Below are 19,874 nucleotides of genomic sequence, written 5' to 3' on the forward strand. Positions count from 1 at the left end.
TCGTGAAACCACTGCAGCCTGAGTGACAGTTATGTTTTAGGGTATTTTTTCTCATACTTAATGGTTATATTATCAGTAAGGTCCAAAGAGTCAGCTGAAATGGTACATCCATTGCTCTGAATTATACTTCCTTTTCTAACTAAGGAATATTTAAGAATTCAATTCAAATATAGAGGGAATATCAATGGTTCTTGGTTCTGATTTTTAGCTCTTTAAGGAAGACTCTATTCACTCTAGAGTAGTGATTCTCAAACTTGTTTAGGCTATAGACCCTTTGGGAGTCTGAGGATGTTATAGAGTCTCTTCCCAGGTAAGTGAATATCCACACAACATCTGGATGAGGCCTTGTGTCCCAAGTTAGGAACCCTTGTTCTACCCTAACTGGATCATCTTTTCCTTCATCTCAGTTTGGCAAAAAGGGAAGCCACTTGGCCCTTCCAATGACTTCTCAGGAGAAGGGCTAGTTGTTGGAAGACAGTGGAGTCCTGACCTTTTGGTTGCTCTCATCTCTTTTTTCTTTTTTTAGATAATTCGCCAGTGTGATTATTAATCTTATGTATTAACTTGACAGGGACATGAGGTACCCAGATATTTGGTCAAATATTTTTCCGGGCGTGTCTGTGAGGGTGTTTCTGGATGAGATTAACATTTAAATCAGTAGACTGAGCAAAGCAGATGACCATTATAATGTGGGTGGACCTCACCAGTTGAAGGCCAGACTAGAACTAAGAGACTGAGGAAGAGAGTCTTCAATCTCTCTGGCTTGCAATTGAGGCATCAGTCTTCTGCCTTTGGACTGGAATTTATACTATTGGCTCACCTGGTTTTCAGAACTTCAGATTCAGACTGAGCAACACCATTGGCTCTCCTGGACCTTCAGCTTACCAAGTGTGGATCTTGGGACTTCTCAGTCTCCATAACTACTGCATGAGCCCATGCCTTATAATAAATGTATGTATGTATCTATCTAATCTCATTGGTTCTGTTTCTCTGGAGAAATTTGACTAATACAACCAGGGGAAGAGGCAACAGGATCTACACCTCATTTTACCTTTGAACTAGTTCTTCCTCAGTGGTTCTTGGCATTTTTTTGTGTATGTGTTCAAACCAGAAACTCCTAGGAATATTTCTGGTGTATTAACTAGTATAACATAGTATGCTTACAGATTTTAAGAAAAAGTCTACCAGACTAGGGAGTCTGACATGGTCTTCACACAACTGTAATCATAAGAGGTGGTTTTGTTTTACTTACAGCCAACTGATCTTTGATAAAGCCAATAAGAACTAACATTGGGGAAAAGACACCAAAGAACACGAATAGACATTTCTCCAAAAAAACAAAACAAAACAAAACAAACAAAAAACCATACAAATGGCCAGTAGGTGTATGAAAAAATGCTTACCATCACTAATCATCAGAGAAATGCAAATCAAAACTACAATGAGATATCTTGTTCCAGGCAGAGTGGCTGTTATTAAATAGACAAAAATAACAAATGTTGGTGAGGATTTGGAGAAACGGGAACTCTTATATACCGTTGGTGGGAATGTAAACTAGAACAGCCACTGTGGAAATTGCATAACAATTTCTGAAAAAACTGAAAATAGAATTACCATTGGATCCAGCAATCCCACTACTGGGAATCTACCCAAAGTAGAAGAAATCAATATATCAGAAGAATACCTGTTTATTGCAGCACTATTGACAATAGCAGAGATACGGAATCAACCTAAGTGTTCATCAATGAATGAATGGATAAAGTAAATGTGGTGTATATATACACAATGGAATACAATTCAGCCTTAAGAAGAATAAAACCATGTCATTTGCAGCAACATGGATAGAACTGGAGGTCATCATCTTAAGTGGAATAAGCCAGCCACAGAAAGACAGATACTGCTTGTTCTTACTCATATATTGGAGCTTAAAAAATTGATTACATGGAGGTAGAGAGTGTAAAAGATAGATAACAGATACTGGGAAGGGTGAGTGTGGGGAGGGGGAAGATGAAGAGAAGTGACTTAAAGGGTGCAAAGATACAGTGAGATAGAAGGAATAAATTAAATGTTTGATAGCAGAGTAGGGTGACTATACTTAAGAAAAATATATCGTACTCAAGTGATGAACACCTAAACATACTGACTTGATCGGTACACATTATATACATGTAACAAAATTTTAAATGTACTCTATATTTGTACAAATAAAACCTAAAAAAAGATAAGTTATGTTTGCTTTTTTTCCCTCAACATACAGCTCCATTTATAATACATATGCACCCTGAGGATACTGATATTTAAAAAATGGATTCTTGAAACTGGCTTATGTTAGTCTTTGGTTTGTCAGTTTAAGAAAAAGGTTACCTAATTTTCCAATTATTTAGTTGGTCATATATACTTTGTCCCAATGTATACATTTTCTTTTCCACTATATTTGTCAGTCTGCTCTTGGTGGTAGAGGTAACAATCCAGGTGGAAGTTACGTCCCCCTGAGAAGAGGCAGCTGCTTTTCGCTATTATCAGAATCACCACTCTCCTTTACTTGACCTAAAGTACCTGCTCTATTGGGAGGGGGTAGAGGGAGGGGCAGAACAGCACCAGCCTTCCTTGAACAAGAGCCACTGAATTAGTGGGAGCAAGGTGGGGTCATTGCAATGTTCCCCAGGCAGTGGGTGAGCCTTGTCTAAGTCCAGAAACCTCTCCCTCTCCATTCCCACAGCACATCCTGGATCCTGAAGCTCCAACCGCAAGCCTAGTGGGGAACCACTGTTGTGTCAGACCAATCTGGTTTTCAGTTGCAGCCAGGGACCTTCCTCTTACTAGTGTGTGACCTAGGACAAGTTCCTTAATCTCTGGAAGCAGCGTGTGCCTAGGGCTGAGTGAGAATGATAGTAAATGGAAAGCACTCGAAGGCAGTGCCAACGAACTGTGGATGCTCAGTAAATAGTAGCTGCTGGCTGGGGGCAGTGGCTCATGCCTGTAATCCCAGCACTTTGGGAGGCTGAGGTGGGCAGATCGTTTGAGCCCAGGAATTTGAGATCAGCCTGGGCAACATGGCAAACCCCATATCTACAAAAAATACAAAAATTTAGGTGAGTATGGTGGCATGCACCTGTGGTTCCAGCTACTTGGGAGGCTGAGGCAGGAAGATCACCTGAGCCCAGGAAGACAAGGTTGCAGTGAGCCACGATTGCACCACTACACTCCAGCCTGGGCGATAGAGGAAACCCTGTTTTTTAAAAAAACAGTAGCTTATTTCCTAGCAATCTGCACTAAAACTCTCATGGCAGCCTCTTAAAGGGCCTCCTTTCTCTTCTGCCTCTTCCACCTTGTACACTAATTCAGCTTAATCTTTTAAAAATAATGTCAGTTCCCTGAACAAACATTTTCCATGGAAAAATATTTAATAGTGTCCCAAATCCTTTACTCTGGCTGGTAAGATTGTGGATGCCTAATATTTTCTTCTTTGTTTCTGTCTCTTCTTATTAACCAGAAAAAAAAAAAAAAAAAACCTTCCACACTTTTCCTTTTTCCATAGTAGTGAGAACAGTTCTGAGATCACTCTCTGGTGGCCCTCCTTGAATTTGTCTTTATTGGCTGTGTCACCATGTCACTTACCCTCCCTCGATCCCAGATTATCCACACCTGTAAAATACAGTTCATACAAGGACTGAATGAGAAAATGCATGTAAAACACCCAACACAGTCCTTAAGCAATGGAAGCTTGGGTACTGAGAAGTGCCTGTAATACTGGCCTTGTTAAGTATTTGTTAACAGATCAGTGGAACACAATCAACTACTTCTCTCTCATTTCCTAACCCTCTATAACCTAAAACCTTACCCTTGGCCTCAGTTCAGAGTTCACTGTCAGACTGGGTTTTATTTTGGTAGGGTCAGCCTGGCTGTCCTTGTGTTTTCATCTGTCTCTGACTGCATGCTTCCAAGGCCATGGCACTGTCTTCCACACCACATGGGCAAATCCAGGAGTAAAGGCTTCCTAAATTTTGTTAAGGGTGAGAGTGTTGTGCATAGGAGAAACTGACAGCCAGAGACACCCTTGGAAGGCCGTGGCCAGTTCCACAGGACATGTCCACTTGGGCTGTATGGAGTCTTCAAACCTTTGGACCTCATGCTGGTCAGTACTATGAGCAGCAGCCTCAAAAGGGATAGCTGTGGACTATCTATTGGTGCCTTGTCAGTTACTATTTAAAGCAAGTCCTGCAGACCTGGTCTCTGCCTCTAGGATCAGCTCAGGGCAAACAGAGGAGTGGATCAGACATCACTTGTGCATTTTCTGGAATGTACAGACATGCCCTCAATAAAGAGTTAGGCATCATAATATGTCCTGGTTCAGTATATTGTTCATATCTGTTTTTTAATGGTTGAAACTCTAATATCACTTGGTATTGGTTTTCTATTCATGCATGCAAGTGCTCTGCGAAAACTTTATGTATTCATTTGTATGTGAGTATTTGTAAAAACCTCAATAAAAAGTTATTAGCAATAATGGAAAGAAAAAGTATAAAAATCTTGGATGTGCAGTAAAAGGAGATTTTGACTATTTTCAGACCCACACTAGATCTCAAGTCATCAGGATTCCTTGAGGCATCGAGGTCACCATTGTCTCTTGCCTAATACAACAGCCTGCTAAGTGGTCTCCCAGACACTACACTTGCTTTCCTGCAATTCTCCACACAGCAACCAGAGTGATCTGTAAAATAGTCAATTAGGTCACATTATTCCCTTCCTTAAAACTCTTTGATGGACACTTAGTTCACTTAGAATAAAATCTCCCCTCTTAACTTTGCCTGCCGGCCCTGCGTGATCTGTCTGCCTCATTGCTTTCTTCAGCCTTCCTTCCTCCCTCTTCTCTCCCTCTCACCATTCTCAGCCACACTGGCCTTCTTTCTGTTTCTTCAATGCACTCAGCTCCCCTCTACAACGTGCCCCCTCCCCCCAGGCCTTTGCATGTGCTGGTCCTTCTGCATGGGATGGTCTTCTCTCAGCTGCTCATGAGGGTGGCTCCTTCTCATTTTCACTTTTAGAAAGCCCTTCCCCAACTACCTTCTCTAATGTAATTCCCCACTCCATGGCTATTCTCCATTGTGGCAAATAAGGATCATACTGTGTAATTATTCTACTTGCTTAATTTGAGTTTTGTTTTCTCCCCCTAGTACATTGTTAGATTGTAAACTGCATGGTAACAAGGGCTGTACCTTCCATCCCCAGCATCTAGTACAGTGCCTGGCACTTAGTAGGCACTAAATAAATATTTGTCAAATCAATGAAGTGTTATATCTTTGTGCACTTAAAATTAATGGTCACTGGAGTCTATTAGGGGACCACTTTCTCTTGCCTTGTGCATATATCTTTTCCTCAGCGGTAATGATCTCCTTTTATCTGTCAGTAGATGGAGTATATACACTCAAAGATAAGCCTTCTTAGGATAATTCCAGTTGAAATAGCTCATAAATGGTCCCTGCAAGTATTCTGAGAGTACAGCCAGGAGACGGAAACATAGTCCTCTAGAGTTTCAACTAGAACTAACTTGTAGAGCCTCTTTCAAACAGGAAAGAAAGAGGAAGGAAGTCTAAATTCTCCAAAAATGGTGAATGATAAAGCCAAGTGAAGGCTACACTTCCTCTCTTAAAAAATCACTACCTCCCACAATTAATTAGAGAAAAAAAAATCTGATAAAAGTAGACTTGTGGAGGTGGAACAGAGTTGGGGTGAATGAATAGTAAAGGAACTTTCCTCTTAAATATGGGGAAGAAGAAAAGGAAAATAAACTTAGACACTGGACCAGATAGTCCAAAAAGGAATCCCTTAGCACATACCATATGGAACAATATGAGTTTTAATTCAAGAGGAAAAGGAGACAGATTTTGGCACTGTTACTTTTCCAGCTCCTTTTACTACCAGCAGATTGATTCCATTTCTTATGCCCTGAGGCTTTTCCTGTTTCCTGTCATGTGAACTTAGAAGCATTTTCCTCTACCCACTCCTACTCTTAGCCCTCTCCCCTTCCCTATTTTTTGTTCTTCCTCAAACATCTTCCATCTATGGCCACCTACTGGAGATACAGAAATATCTCCTAAGATTGTTCTTATTCTACATGCTTGGGGGTAATATTCTAAATGTAACAGGATTAACAGACATTCTGACTTCAAAATCTTGATGAATGCATTCTCATACTGTTCAGCAATGTGGTACTAGGTGCAGATTTTCCAGGCTAAAGGAAAAAAATCATGAGATCATTTTTATGAAGAGCAGTGCAAATTCTTTCAAATTCATTCTAAATTCATTGAGCACTAACTAGTCTAATTCCTCTTTTATGTTCCACTAGAAGTTGCAGACTTAGATTTTCTAAATAGCTTGCAACCCATGTCAACAAGGCATTTTTCTATATGGACATTTTTTTCTGTATGCACAAGTACTATCTATTTTCTCTGCTTACATTTGTTTGATAAAGAATAGATCTCTATAAATCAGAATCTGAGTTTTCTTTAAATAAACAATTACATATGATACTATAGTGGTAGATACATGTCATTACAAATTTGTCAAAACCCACGGAATGCATAACACAACCTCAATGTAAACTATGGACTTCGGCTAATAATGTGTCAATATTGATGTTAATAACAGAGGAAACTATGTGTGGGACATATGGAGTATATGGCAACTCTGTACTTTCTGCTCAATTTTTCTGTAAATCTAGAACTGCTCCAAAATGTAAGGTCTATTAATTTTTAAAAATATGAAAGTTTATAATCCCTTGGTTTTCAGATATTTGATGATATCAAAGATTGTTTTACTGAACTACTGTGAATAGCCTGAAAACACAGCAACAGTGAACCATAAAGAGGCATGTAAACTTCCACTATCTTAATGAGATGCTGATGTAACACTGAAGCCTGGATAACCCTAACTGTGTTTGACACATTCCGTTCTCCATCTTCCCGATTCAAAACCCTACACGGTATTCAAAGCCCAGTGCAATGCCATCCCCTTTATCAGAACCTCCAACCCTCCACCTGGAAGTAATTTCTGTCACTCCTACACCCTGGTGGTAATTTGCTTGAACTTTTCCAGCCTTCACATGTTGTACACAGGCCTCTCCTGTTTCTACCACAAGATGTCTTTAGCTGCTAGAAGATGTTTGGATTGTTCTCCTTGATTAGCTTGATTTTTCCCCCTAATATTCGCTTCGTTATGGACCCCAGGGGTTGTATGTTGGTAACAATGCCTGGATCATTCCTCTCTAATAACACTGTCCTTGCCTATCTGCAAGTCTGAATGTTTTGTGATGTTGCATATTCTGCTGTCAGTTTTGCTTGACCACATCTGACCCATTTAGGGATCTTGCCAGAGTCCTGAACATATAACTTATTGCCTACTGTGTGCCCTGAACTTTCCACTCGAGTTGACCTTTGCAAGCAGTACTTGCTCTAAAAGGGTATCAAAGTCAAACGACCAACTTTTAATAATCTAACTACACAAGAACAGGGAGATGTTTCCCAGCCTTAGCGCAGCCATAACCCAAACAACACATTGCTCCATAATGCTCACAATAAATCCTGTATATTGCATAAAGGATGTTTCCCATTAAGGGCAACCTTACAGCTCTAGCAATGTTTTTTGTCCGTTGAAGGTGAAGGTGTGTATGTGTTTGGGGTGGAGGTGGCGGTAGGGGAGTTAGTTGATGGGTGAGTAAAGAAAACAGATAAGAGTCTGAGACCAGGGGCTGACCAGAGTACTTAGTAGAACAACATGGCCAAAATGAAAAAATAAAGTTGTAGAACCCGTACAGGTAATTCTCCTTTGCATTGGCAGCATCAGATCCCTATTGACATGAAATTTGAAATCATTGGTTAGCAAAACAATTTTGATTTCCCATTGAGTTCTTGGGGAGGGGGTGCAAATAACATTGGTGAAGCTGGGCTGCCCGACTCTGCCATCCTCCCATATGGCAGGTGTGCAGGCCACCTTGGCCTCCTGCGCGTGCTGCTCCTCATGGGCAGCTGCAGTCCGCCCATCGTCTCTGGGGCTGATGGAGAAGTGCTCGCCTCTCTGGCAGAGGGAGCTTCACTTCTGTTCCATTCATCTCCCTAGCTGCTCAGCAGTTCCTCCTTTTGGAGGCTGCTGTTCCTCTCCTCTTCCGAGGCTTGGGCATCCCAGCTGCAGGACCTGGGAGCCCAAGCCCCCAGGCCACGTGAGCCTCGTGCCCCGGTGCACAGCAGCCCCGCTCCTGCCCAGCCGTCAGCGCTCACTTTCCTCCCAGCTTTTGTTCCGCACCTTTCCTCCCTACAGGTTCTGGCACTGCGCCTTGCTGCTGACTTGTATTTTTTTCTCCATGATACAGGAGGGAGGGTAATTAGGAGGAAATCCTGAGAATCTTCAAACTACTGGAAAAAAAAGAAAATGCTGGCGGCGCTATTCATGGAAAGTGGAATTTGGCCTGGCTGTGACCTCCCCCATGCCTGGCTTAGACTCCTGGTGGAGGAGACAGATGGTGAGGTGAGGAAAGCTGTGTGACCCGATCACTGCCGGCCAGAGCAATCGGCAGGAGCAGTGAAGAGGAGATCATTTTAAAGCAAACATGGACTTTAGGGCAGGAGAGTAGAAGGGTAAATCTTTATATATTGGAAGCCAAGGCATTTCTGAATGGAATGAGCTTAGCAGTTTTATTTTAAATTCAGCGCCAAGAGGTAGACAGTGGACTTGCCCAGCATCAAATCTCACATTCAACACTGGGGACAGCTAGCTCAGAATCTGAAAGGGACAGTCATGGTCCCTTTCTAAGGAAATGTTCCCAGCAGTTAAGTAATCCGATCTGAATTGTGGAATAAATGGTGCTTTGAAATGTGTTTCTCATTAATCTTCATTTAAATGTAGACAGCTAAGTGGTTTGGATGTTATTTTGAGAGTGTCTCTTTAACCAAAAATTTATTATTAATGGCAAATATTTTAGGGCATGGTTGGCTGAATTTTCCTGGGTGTCAAACACATACTGTTTCCTGAAAATCATAAAATGTCCTCCTTCTGTTCCTAACAGAAGTGACATATCCCATTGTCTTGTTTCCACAATGCTTAACTGTGTTATAACAAATGTCAATGGTGAATTAACTATCCCTTTGAATGTTTCAAATGTGACTTTTAATTAAGCATATTAACCTGATATATTATCATTTGAGAAGCAACTAAGATTATATGAATTTTAAACTTTTGGATGCCCGCAGAACATGAAAAGCACTTTATGAGGCTTGCATTAATGCATATTTCATTATAATGTAATTCTATATTAGATATTCCATTTATGCATAGAGCCAAAATAGTTTCTGCTCTGTAGTGACGCTGATTTAAATGAGTAAATCACAAGGAATCGAGAAATCTTAACTCTTTGTGAATCTCAGCATTATCATGCATATAAAGAAAGTCTTTGTGGGCAGAATCTTACCTTTAGTTAATAGAGTACAGCATTTTTTATTCAAGTGGGATGGGGTAAGAGAGGATGGATGAACTATTTCTTCTGTATAACATTAACTGATTAGAGACAATCCTGAGCATTCCCTGAGCATTTTTCATTTACTCCACATATAGCAGCTGATCAGTTTTGCCACACAGAGCAGTCAATAAGGCTGAAGTACACATGAGAGGGTTATGAGGGGCTGGTGGGCTGCCTTGCCCACATGGGTAAGGAGAACATGTGCAATATTAATGCATAAAGAAACTCTGGGAGCTAGATGCATGCTACTCTGCAGGGCTGCCTTAAAGTATCCTGTGTAATATTACTAATAGACCTTTTACAATTTTTATAGCTTCCCGAGTTATTTTTGAGTCAGTGCTAGCATTCAATTATTTCCTGTTGAATAGGGAACAAAACAGGCCTAAAGACTGAAAGGAAAAGCTGCTGTGGGGAGCGGTCTCTCCAGATGGAAGTTTTCTGGCAGATTGTGATTTGTGACTCAGAATGAGCCCAGATTACTGTGCCATATGGGTGGCAGCAGTGCCTGTAGACACTATTCAGTTATTCAGTAGGCTCCTCCTGAACTCCTACTATGCGTTGGTTACTTGCCGGGCACTGGGAAACAAAGATGAGTAAGCGATAGTATCTGCCACCAAGGAGTCCATTCATTTATTCATTCATTCATTTAACCAACATTTACTGAGCATCAATGATGTGCATTGTATATTAGGGGAGTTGAGCACGTAAACATAGAGTAAATTACCATATGGTGTGACAAAATCAGTTATAGGAAAAAAATGCTCTGCAGCTTAGAGGTGGAGAGAGAGAAATTATATTTGGGGCAGTCAGGAATCCTCACAGAAAATGTGACATTCAACATGAATGTTGAAGTAGGATTAGGAAATTATTGAGAGGAAAGAAGGACAAGGTCATTCCAGACAATGAGAACAGCATGAGCAAAGTCATGGAGTTAAGGTTTCATGCTTGGGAGGAAAAATAAGAAAATAAGAAATAGATTGTGGATATAGCTTTTGGCTCATAGGGAGGAAATGCAACTAGAGAAATAACTTATGCAGGATCTTTCATGTCATGTTAGAGTTTGGCATTATTCTGAACGTTGGGAATGGAAAATTCCAGAGCTCCCTTCTGTCTATCCTCATGGCAGATATCCCTAAAATGGCATGAATGGTATTCTTTCCTGCTGAGCCCAGGCCAACCCTTGGAATCTTTCTCTATGTAGGGTTCTAAAAAACCTCAACCAACTTACTGGAACTGGTACAAAGAAGAAGTATATTCACCATCTTGGTTACAGGCAAAGGAAGCAAAGATTTTTAAATAGGGAAATGACAAGTGTGTGCTGTCATTCTCTATACTGATTTGATTATTGGGAAGACCATTTGAACCGGTGCACTGGAGAATGAATTAGAGTGGGGAGAATCTTGAATCAGGAAAACCAATAGGAAACTGTTTAATAGTTCAAGTCATTGGTTCTCAACCTGATGGCCCACTAATACATTTGAGATGCTTGTTACAAATGTCAATACCTAGGTTCCACCCTTGATGAATTAATCCAGAATTTAAAACAAAACAAAAGCCAAGTGGTTCATTTGTGCCCAAGGGTTGAGATCCACTTGTCTGTAAATCTGATCATGGAAACATTTATTTATTAGACAGAAGAGGTTTTATCTCTTTTAATGTATACTTGGAGAGGCGAGTGGATGACTTTGGGAAGATGGGAAATGATTTGCTTCCATTGGGCCTTTACTCATATAGTACTACTCATAATGGCTGCTTTCTTGATTGTCATCTATATCGCTGCTGACTTATCTATAGATATTTAATCCACCATATCAATCATCTGCATATGTATTTTTAATCCCCAATTTACAGATAAGGTAACAAAGTGTCAGAGACTTTAAGTAACTTGCTTAATGTCATAAGGTAATTGATGCCAACTACAACTGCCAATACATCTACTGTAGTTTTTTAAGGGGAAAACTGATGAGAATGTGAATGTTTCTCTCTGGTTCAAAACAAGGTCATCCTTACCCATCAGGAACTGTGCCTTTCATGTTCTGATTGGCTCAAATCCTCACTGTATGCACATTGCACAATTGTCCTGCCTATGTGTGCTTTCACGCTTGTGATTTCTGTGAACAAACAGTACCAAGAACCACCACCTCCCACCCCCCACCCAAATCAGAGACATGTTGGCTCACTTTAAATATCCTTTTAAAAACATCCATACAAATTGGATTTCTTTCCCTAATTGTTATTTAGCAAGCAAATAATGCTCCATGGCTGCCTAATTATTTGGATTGTTTCAGAACTAGTAAGCAGAAAACTAGTACTAGCAATAGTATTCACAGTAAACACTAGGTTCTTACTTTGTCTGAAACTTCTCTTCTAGAGTCTCTCTATACAACCAAGGCAGCTCTCATAGCCAGCACCCGTGCTATGCATTTAATTCAACAATGTGGGTCTCATTTATAAGCCAGCAGGCTGCTTCCTGACCTGGGGGATAGACCACGAAGGTTTGGCTTTAGGAGGGGCATGCTACTGCAACCAGGTGAGCCACATGGCTTGCCTAGCAACAAAGAATGCCAAGAACAGAATGCACAAAGTGAAGAATTCCTAATTTTGAATCCAGTGCTTTCAACTACCAGATTGTATTAATTCCTAGAAATGAAACAAAGTAAGAGATGCTTTATTTACTGTATTTATTATGGTTTACTCTTTTGGCAAAATCTTATGCATTATGTTAGCTGCTTCTTTTTTACTTATCATTGGAAGGAGACCCTAGAACCTTGTCTTTCCAGTTGTTTTTTGTGGAGCCCCAGGATTTCTTAGTGGATGAGGGAAACTTCAAGTGGATGTCATGGGGAAGTGAAGGTGAAGTTGCACTCAGCTCTACAATTTCCATCCCAACTTTGATTAGAATAGTTTTGCTTTTATTAATTTTGTATTTGAAAAAATAATCTGCTACAATTGGTACAAAGAGCACTGCACTAGATATAAGAAATCTCTGGGTAAAACATTTGTATATGCCAATCAATTGGAATTCTTGTTGTTTTTAATAATTTGAAAATCCAAAATCCAATTTTGATCCTGTACATGTCTGGAAAAACTGGCATGAACATAGCTGAAAAGAGTTGTTATAAAGCCCATGAACTTGTCTCTTAGGAGATGTCTGGATCCGCCTATAGGTGCTCAGTCATGGCCAGTGGAATTAAAATGGATTTTAAAGATAAGGTCTCTGATTTTACGATCCTGGTCATTAGATTTCAAGAAAGAGCATATATTAGCAGATGGCTGTTGGAAGCGGACATGCTGAAAAGTGATAGATACCACAAGGGAAGATGTGAGTTAAGACTTAGTCACCCACTGCACTGGAGGGACTATCTCATAATGAATAGGAGTGTGGACTCTGAAGTCTGATGGATTTTGGTTCATGACCCAATTTGGACCCTTACTTGCTTTGTGATTTTGAGCCTCAGTGTTCTCTTCTGTAAAACGGGCTTAGTAGCAACCCTTACCTCATAATGTTATTGTGTGTATTAAATGAAATCATGCATGTAAGGTATGTATCAGTTTCTGGAAGACAATAAAGGCTCAGTAATAATATTCTGATTATAAAGTGACCTGAGTCATTTTTTGTTGTAGAAGCCAAAAACTGCTGAGGAAAACAGAGCATTACAACTATATATATTAGCTAACTCATAATGATAGCCCCAACTCATAAAGATATGCCAAGATATGCCTAATGAGAAGACTATGTAATGCATTTCAGAAAACTTTCCAAATAAAATCATGTTTAAAGTAACACATTTTAAGAAACAAGGCAAGATGCTCATTTTGCCACTGCTATTCAACATAGTACTGGAAGTCCTAGCCAGAGATAATAGGCATGAAAAAAAAAAATAGCACCCATATTGGAAAGGAAGAAGTACAATGATCTCTGTTCACAGATGACATAATCTTATATATAGAAAACCCTAAGGATTCCACAAAAAATCTGTTAGAGCTAATAAAGGAATTCAGAAAACCTGCAGGATTCAAGATCAACACAAAAAATCAGCTGTGTTTCTATACACTAACAATGAACACTCTTAAAAGGAAATTAAGAAAACAATCCCATTTACAATAGCATCATAAAGAATCAAATACTTAGAAATAAACATAACCAAGGAGGAGACTTGTACATTGAAAAGTACAAAACACTGATTAAAGAAATAAATAGACATTCCATGTTTATGGCTCAGAAGACTTAATATTGTTAAAATGTTTATACTGCCCAAAATGATGTATAGATTCAATAACATTCTGGTCAAAATCCCAATGGCATTTTTTACAGAAATAGAAAAAGATTCTAAAATTCACGTGAATCTCAAGGAAACCTGAATATCAAAACATTCTTGAAAAAGAAGAACAAAGCTAAAGGTTTCGTAATTCTTGATTTCAAAACATATTACAAGGCTATAGTATTCAAAACTGTGTGGTACTGGCATAAAAACAGACATTTAGACCAATGGAACAAAACAGAGCACCTAGAAATAAGCTCTTGTATGAGCAAATGATCTTTGATGAGTCAGGATCACACAATGGGGAAAGGATAGTCTCTTCAACAAATGGTGTTGGAAAACTGAATATCCATATGCAAAAGAACTAATTTGGACCTTTATCTTATGCCATATAGAAAAATCAACTCAAAATGAATCAAGGACCTAAGTATAAGATCTAAAACTATAAAGCTTTTGGAAGAAAACATAGAGGAAAGCCTTTATGATATTGGACTCAAATGATTTCTTGGATATAGCATCAAAAGCACAGACAATAAATGCAAAAATAGACAAATGGTACTACATCTTCTACATAAATTTAAAAACTTCTGCACATCAAATGAAACAGACAACAAAAAAGGCAACCAATGGAATGGAAGAAAATATTTGCAAACCACTGATAATGGAGTAATATTCAGACTATGTTAAAACTTCTACAATTCAACAATAACAAAATAACCTTATTGGAAAATGGGCAAAGGGCTTGAATGGGACATTTCTTCAAAGAAGATATGCAAGTTAACAAGCATATGAAAAGATGCTCAATATCTCTAATCATCAGGAGACTACATAATGAGATATCACCTCATATACATTAGGATGGCTACTATCATAAAAACAGAAAATAAGTGTTGATGAGGACATGGAGAAATTGGAATCTTTGTGCACTGTTGGTGAGAATGTAAAAGGGTGCAGCTGCTATGGAAAACAGTAAGTATGTTCCTCAAAAAATTAAAAATAGAACTACCATATGATTTAGCAATCCCACTTCTGGGTATATATCCAAAAGAATTGAAAGCAGGAGCTCCAAAAGATATTTGCACACCGGTGTTCACGGCAGCATTATTCACAATAGCCAAGAAATGGAAGAAGCCCATATGCTCATCAGTGAGTAAATGGATAAAGAAAATGTGGTATGTATAATACATACAATAGGATATTCTTCAGCTTTAAAAAGGACAGAAATTCTGTCACATGCTACAACATAGATGAAGCTTAAGGACATTATTCTAAATGAAATCAGCCAGTCTCAAAAAGACAAATACTGCATAATAACCACTTATATGAGCTATTTAAAGTAGTCGAATTAACTGAAAGCAGGTTGGTGGTTGCCAGGGGTTAGGGTAGGGGGAAATGGGGAATTGTTCAATGGGTATAGAGTTTCAGTTTTACAGGATAAAAAAGTTCTAGAGATCGGTTTTACAACAATGTGAATATAATTGACACTATTGAACTGTATACTTAAAAATGCGAAGGTGGTAATTTTTACGTGCTTTTTACTACATTAATATTTAAAAAAATTTTTTAAAATACAGAAAATCTTAAAGTATTAGCTTCAGTTATCTGGAAAATTGACACAAGGAGCACATTGTTATGGCAGGGACCATGGTTTGCTACACAGTTCCTTTTATTTGTAAAACTCCAAATTATTCCAAATTGGATGACTAAACTATAGCTAATCTATATATTTTAAAGGAAACTATTTATGGATAGTATGGGAGAGAATATTATAATTTTATTAATAAATACTTGAGTCCCTACCATGAGCAAAGAGCTATTAAATTGCTTGCTCAATACCAAGGATATAACTGGCTTTTCTCTCCCTTGAATTGAATTTTCAGCCTCAGAGAGATCAGAAGCTTCCCTCCTTCCACCCCCCACCCTCATTCAGAACTGGCCACTGTGGATTTTCCGAGGCATTTATAGCCTTCTCTAAATTGTATTTTGTCATGTGTACTCTACCCGTATGTCACCTGATAGGAAACATCAGCTGAAATCAGTGATGAAACTGCCTACTTCCAAAGAGTTAAGGATAACTCCTTCACTCCTCTTGCTTGTTCCTTGACTGGATCTGATCATTCACATGTCCCCTGATGCAGTCAGGCTCTACTTGAATCTGGCAGAGCAGCTCCTTCACAGGACTGTGGACTTTCCCAGAGCTTTCCTGATGACCTGCTGTAGCAGAATCCCCTGGGACGCTGGAGAAACATATGGCTCCCTTGGCCTTAACCGCAGGCTGCTGGAATCCCAATCTTTAGTGCCAGTGAAGTGAACTCTAAACAAGTGCCCCAGGGGATTCTGAACTGCTTCCACACTTGGAAACCACCACTTTAGAAGCAGCTTGGCAAACCTTGATGCAGGTTCTTGGGGGAACCAAAGACAGGGAAGGGGAATCTGTAGCCTATGGTGACTTTGGCCTTGTGCCCAGATCCCTTTCTTCCTAGACTTGTGTCCTTTGTTGGTGGAAGAGCATCTGCCTGGGTTCTTTCTTGTCAGAGCTGGAGTGGCACCAGTCATGGTCCCACAGTGGAGAGTAACATGCTTTTAGCTATTCTGTCCTTGAGGAAAAAGGTAAAAGAAGAAAGGAGGGATCCCTGAATGCTAATTAAGTGACTTTTGTGTATAAGAGATGAACATGCATGTCTCTTTAAATTAAAAGCCCTATTCAAACATATACTCACATATCTTTGGAGAGATACAGAATGTGTACTTCTTGTACCAGGCTGAAAAACTGGCTCCGTTATCACAGTGGTCTCAGGGAGTTTCAAGAAACAAAAGAGCTCTCATTGTGATTGCAATGTCAAAGTGTTATGGCCATCAACCCAGTTGTGCCTAAATACATTTTAAGAGGATTCATTATAAGTAAAAATAAACTGTGTTTTCTGTAATATTTCAGCTTGCACAAGGAATGTGACAAAGAGAAGGACATTGTAAATATTTTTGGCCTTATTTGGTCTTGGTATTTCTCTATGTCAGACTGAAAATCCTGACAAGCAGACAGAGCAGTGTTATATTTAACAAACACCTTCATGAAACCCATGGAGAGAAAGAGGGAGGGAGAAAAGCAGTAAGCGAGAGAGCTAGACAGCTCGGTTTAATCATTTATTTCCGATTAAATCATTCCCAACCAAAATTGTATGTACGGATCTTGGGACATAAATACATATACTTAAAAGGCATTCTTTAAAAATAATGCTACACCTGACTGCACCCCAGTGGCCTTACAGGTGCTTGTTTTCACCACAGCAACCACTGGGTAGAGGAAAAGAATCAGAATGGTCCAGGGCAAATCAATCATCTTTATGTTAAAAACAACTTAAAGCTGCCTGGGGATTACATATCCAGGCTTCAAAAGTATTACCAGAGTTATGAATGTGAGAATGGTGCCTGACACATTCTCCCATTTTAAATATTAGAAAACAGAGATACGAAAAGGTTACTTGCCCAAGTCACTCAGTTTTTAAGTGAAAGAGCTGGGGGTTTGAACCCATGTGTTTTGAATCCATGTTCCTCAACATCACACCACCTTTAACTTATTACATAAAAGAATGTTATGTGAACTGAAAAATTCTTAACTTCTGTTCTCTGATAAGCATTCCTGGCTTATTTATTAGTAAATTACAGCAAAGGAGTGGTTGAGAAAGCTGGGACCCTTCAGATGCTATAATTTAAATCTTATTTCTGTCTCCTACACAAGGCACTGTGTCAGTTGACAGCTTTTGAGGGATGGAATTTTGGTTTCTTTGTGCCACCACCTGCCACCAATGGTGGCAATCAACATCAATAATTATTTGTGAGTCTCCTGGAATTCTGCTTTGCTCTATCTCACAATATTCTCATTAGAGCTTCCTCCTGGTGTGGAGGTTCATCGCATGGCCCCTTGGACAGGGCCCCTGAGCCTCCCTCCCTACTAGTATGTAATGTCTGTCATCTTTTTCTTTCATAATTAATTGCAATTTGCACAGCTGCATATGAGGTGAGTGGCTGGAGGAAGAAATGCAGCTTCCGGCTCTCTTGCTTACCTACCCAGCTCAAGCCTTGGTTGAGGATTTTCTCTGCTTGAATCCCAGGCTGCTCATTTCTTATGCAGTAGATAGCATTCCTTTTCCCTGCTATCTTCTTTATGTTACATTCCCCCCCTTCTACACTGGCATACTATGTTGTTCCTTAACATAAATAAATTACTCTTCAGATTCTTTTCCCTGATGTTCTTAAGGCTTCCCGTCACATTGTATTGCCACATCATTTAAAAATGTTGCAGTAGCTGGTGAACAATAGTTAATGACTAAAAGAGCAGACTGTTGAGAGCTATACTCTGGAATACTCAATAATCACGTCTACTCTGATAGTTTCTTTTCCTGTTCCAAAGCTGAGCTTGGTTGTATTCAGTTCTGATCATTAGGTTCATGTTAACAACTGTTGCTCAATTCACTGTTTTTCAAAATAATTATTAATACAACTCTGGGAGTGACAACTCCTTCTGTAAAAGGATGCTACTGCCCGAATGATGGGGTGTGCTATGTACAATTATGGCTTCCAAAAGGTATTAACTGACATAAAAAAAGCAACCAAGTCAAAGACTAATGCATAGGAGAAATCTCAAAAGCACTGAGAACACAACACGAGAACTTTTTGCATCGTGACATTGTAAACACAATAATAAGTGACTTGGAATCACGGTTGATTAAACTGATGTTAGAAGCCCTCAGTACTATTATACCACGCTTCATCTCCTGAGCACCCTGTGCTTTGTTGTCAGCCAACAAACTATAATTTCATGACTGACTGGCCTAATACAGTCTTAGGTTCCAGATTCTGTGCACAACCTCACCAGACCACAGAAGTTAAAGGAAAAGCAAATAAATAAATAAATAAAACAGTAGGCAGAGGTCAAAAGACAATGCTCAACACCAGCCTGAAATAAGGCAAGTCTCTCACAGGAATACATTCGGGATTTTACTATCATTTAACTGAAGGACTATTTTGATTACCTGCTGATTCAACATTAACTAGACATTTATTAGAACACCTGCTTTGTGCCAGGCACAGTGGTAGGCCTGGAGGCTATAGTGGGAAAAATAAAACAGGTACTAATGAGTAGTTGGAATTTCTTAATGGAAAACAAGATCATTCTCCATTGCAACCACTCTATAGCTAGTGGAGGCTTTGAAGAGACTCTTAGAGAGGTTTCAGTTCAGATCTTTCCTGGGGCTCACTTTGGTACCGTCTTCAAGATTTCTCTTGGAAAGGGGCATTAACTCCTTATCCTATCTTAGATGCAATCATATTGAGTTTTTGCCCTTACCATATTCATCAGTTTACATTTCTGAATATACTCATAAAAGGTCTCCTGGTCAGGTCTTATCTCCACTCACTAAAGATTCTCTTAACATCCAGAAATCTATCTCCAGACACCCTTTTATGTGCTCTTTCTAGAATGACAATATAAATGAGTTGGTACAAGAAATGTGAAAAAGAGAGATTGGAAATCTATTGAAATTTGCTAGTCATTAGTGCAGAAGGCTTTATTCACTTCCACATATTTTCTGCATTTAGGATCACCTGAACTTTATCACTTTTGCTGGTAGCAGAACAATTAAGCTGAATAGGACACTTAATTCTAAGAAAGTTCTAAAGAAATCTTTAAAATTTTTAAGACTATCCCTCTCACTATCCTTTAGGCTGAAAGTCTGTCCAAATGTCTTTTGGCACTTATGTGGAATATGATGAATTCCTTTCGCTGGATGTATCTCAGGATAGCATTAATTTGGTGTGATCGGGAGGTGAATTTCTTTAGGATCTTTTTCACTGTTCATGTGCTGTTTTGCAGTTCCTTTGGAGTAGTGGGGGCTTAAGGGGGCTTAGCTTTCATAAACTTTTGGTCTTGAGAATATATACCTGAGATGGGGTCGGTTTGGGAGCCTCCAATGCCTGTCAATTTGGGAACTCCAGAGTAGGATTTTATAAAAATAATCATCCATTCATAACTGTATTGAGTTACAAGGGAGGGCAAGAGAGTCATCCCAGGTCATAGTCATACAATGTAAATTTAGACCAAGGGATGA

At 39.3% G+C, this 19,874-nt stretch overlaps 1 protein-coding gene across 4 annotated transcripts in view; it reads right to left on the reverse strand.

Annotated features, from left to right (window-relative positions):
- Positions 1-19,874, reverse strand: part of SLC9A9 (solute carrier family 9 member A9) — a 583,247-nt gene that overhangs the window by 56,363 nt on the left and 507,010 nt on the right. The gene's annotated exons all lie outside the window — the stretch shown is intronic.

The sequence above is a fragment of the Homo sapiens genome, chromosome 3 (genome assembly GCF_000001405.40).
Source record: "Homo sapiens chromosome 3, GRCh38.p14 Primary Assembly".
NCBI classification, from domain to species: Eukaryota; Metazoa; Chordata; class Mammalia; order Primates; family Hominidae; genus Homo; species Homo sapiens.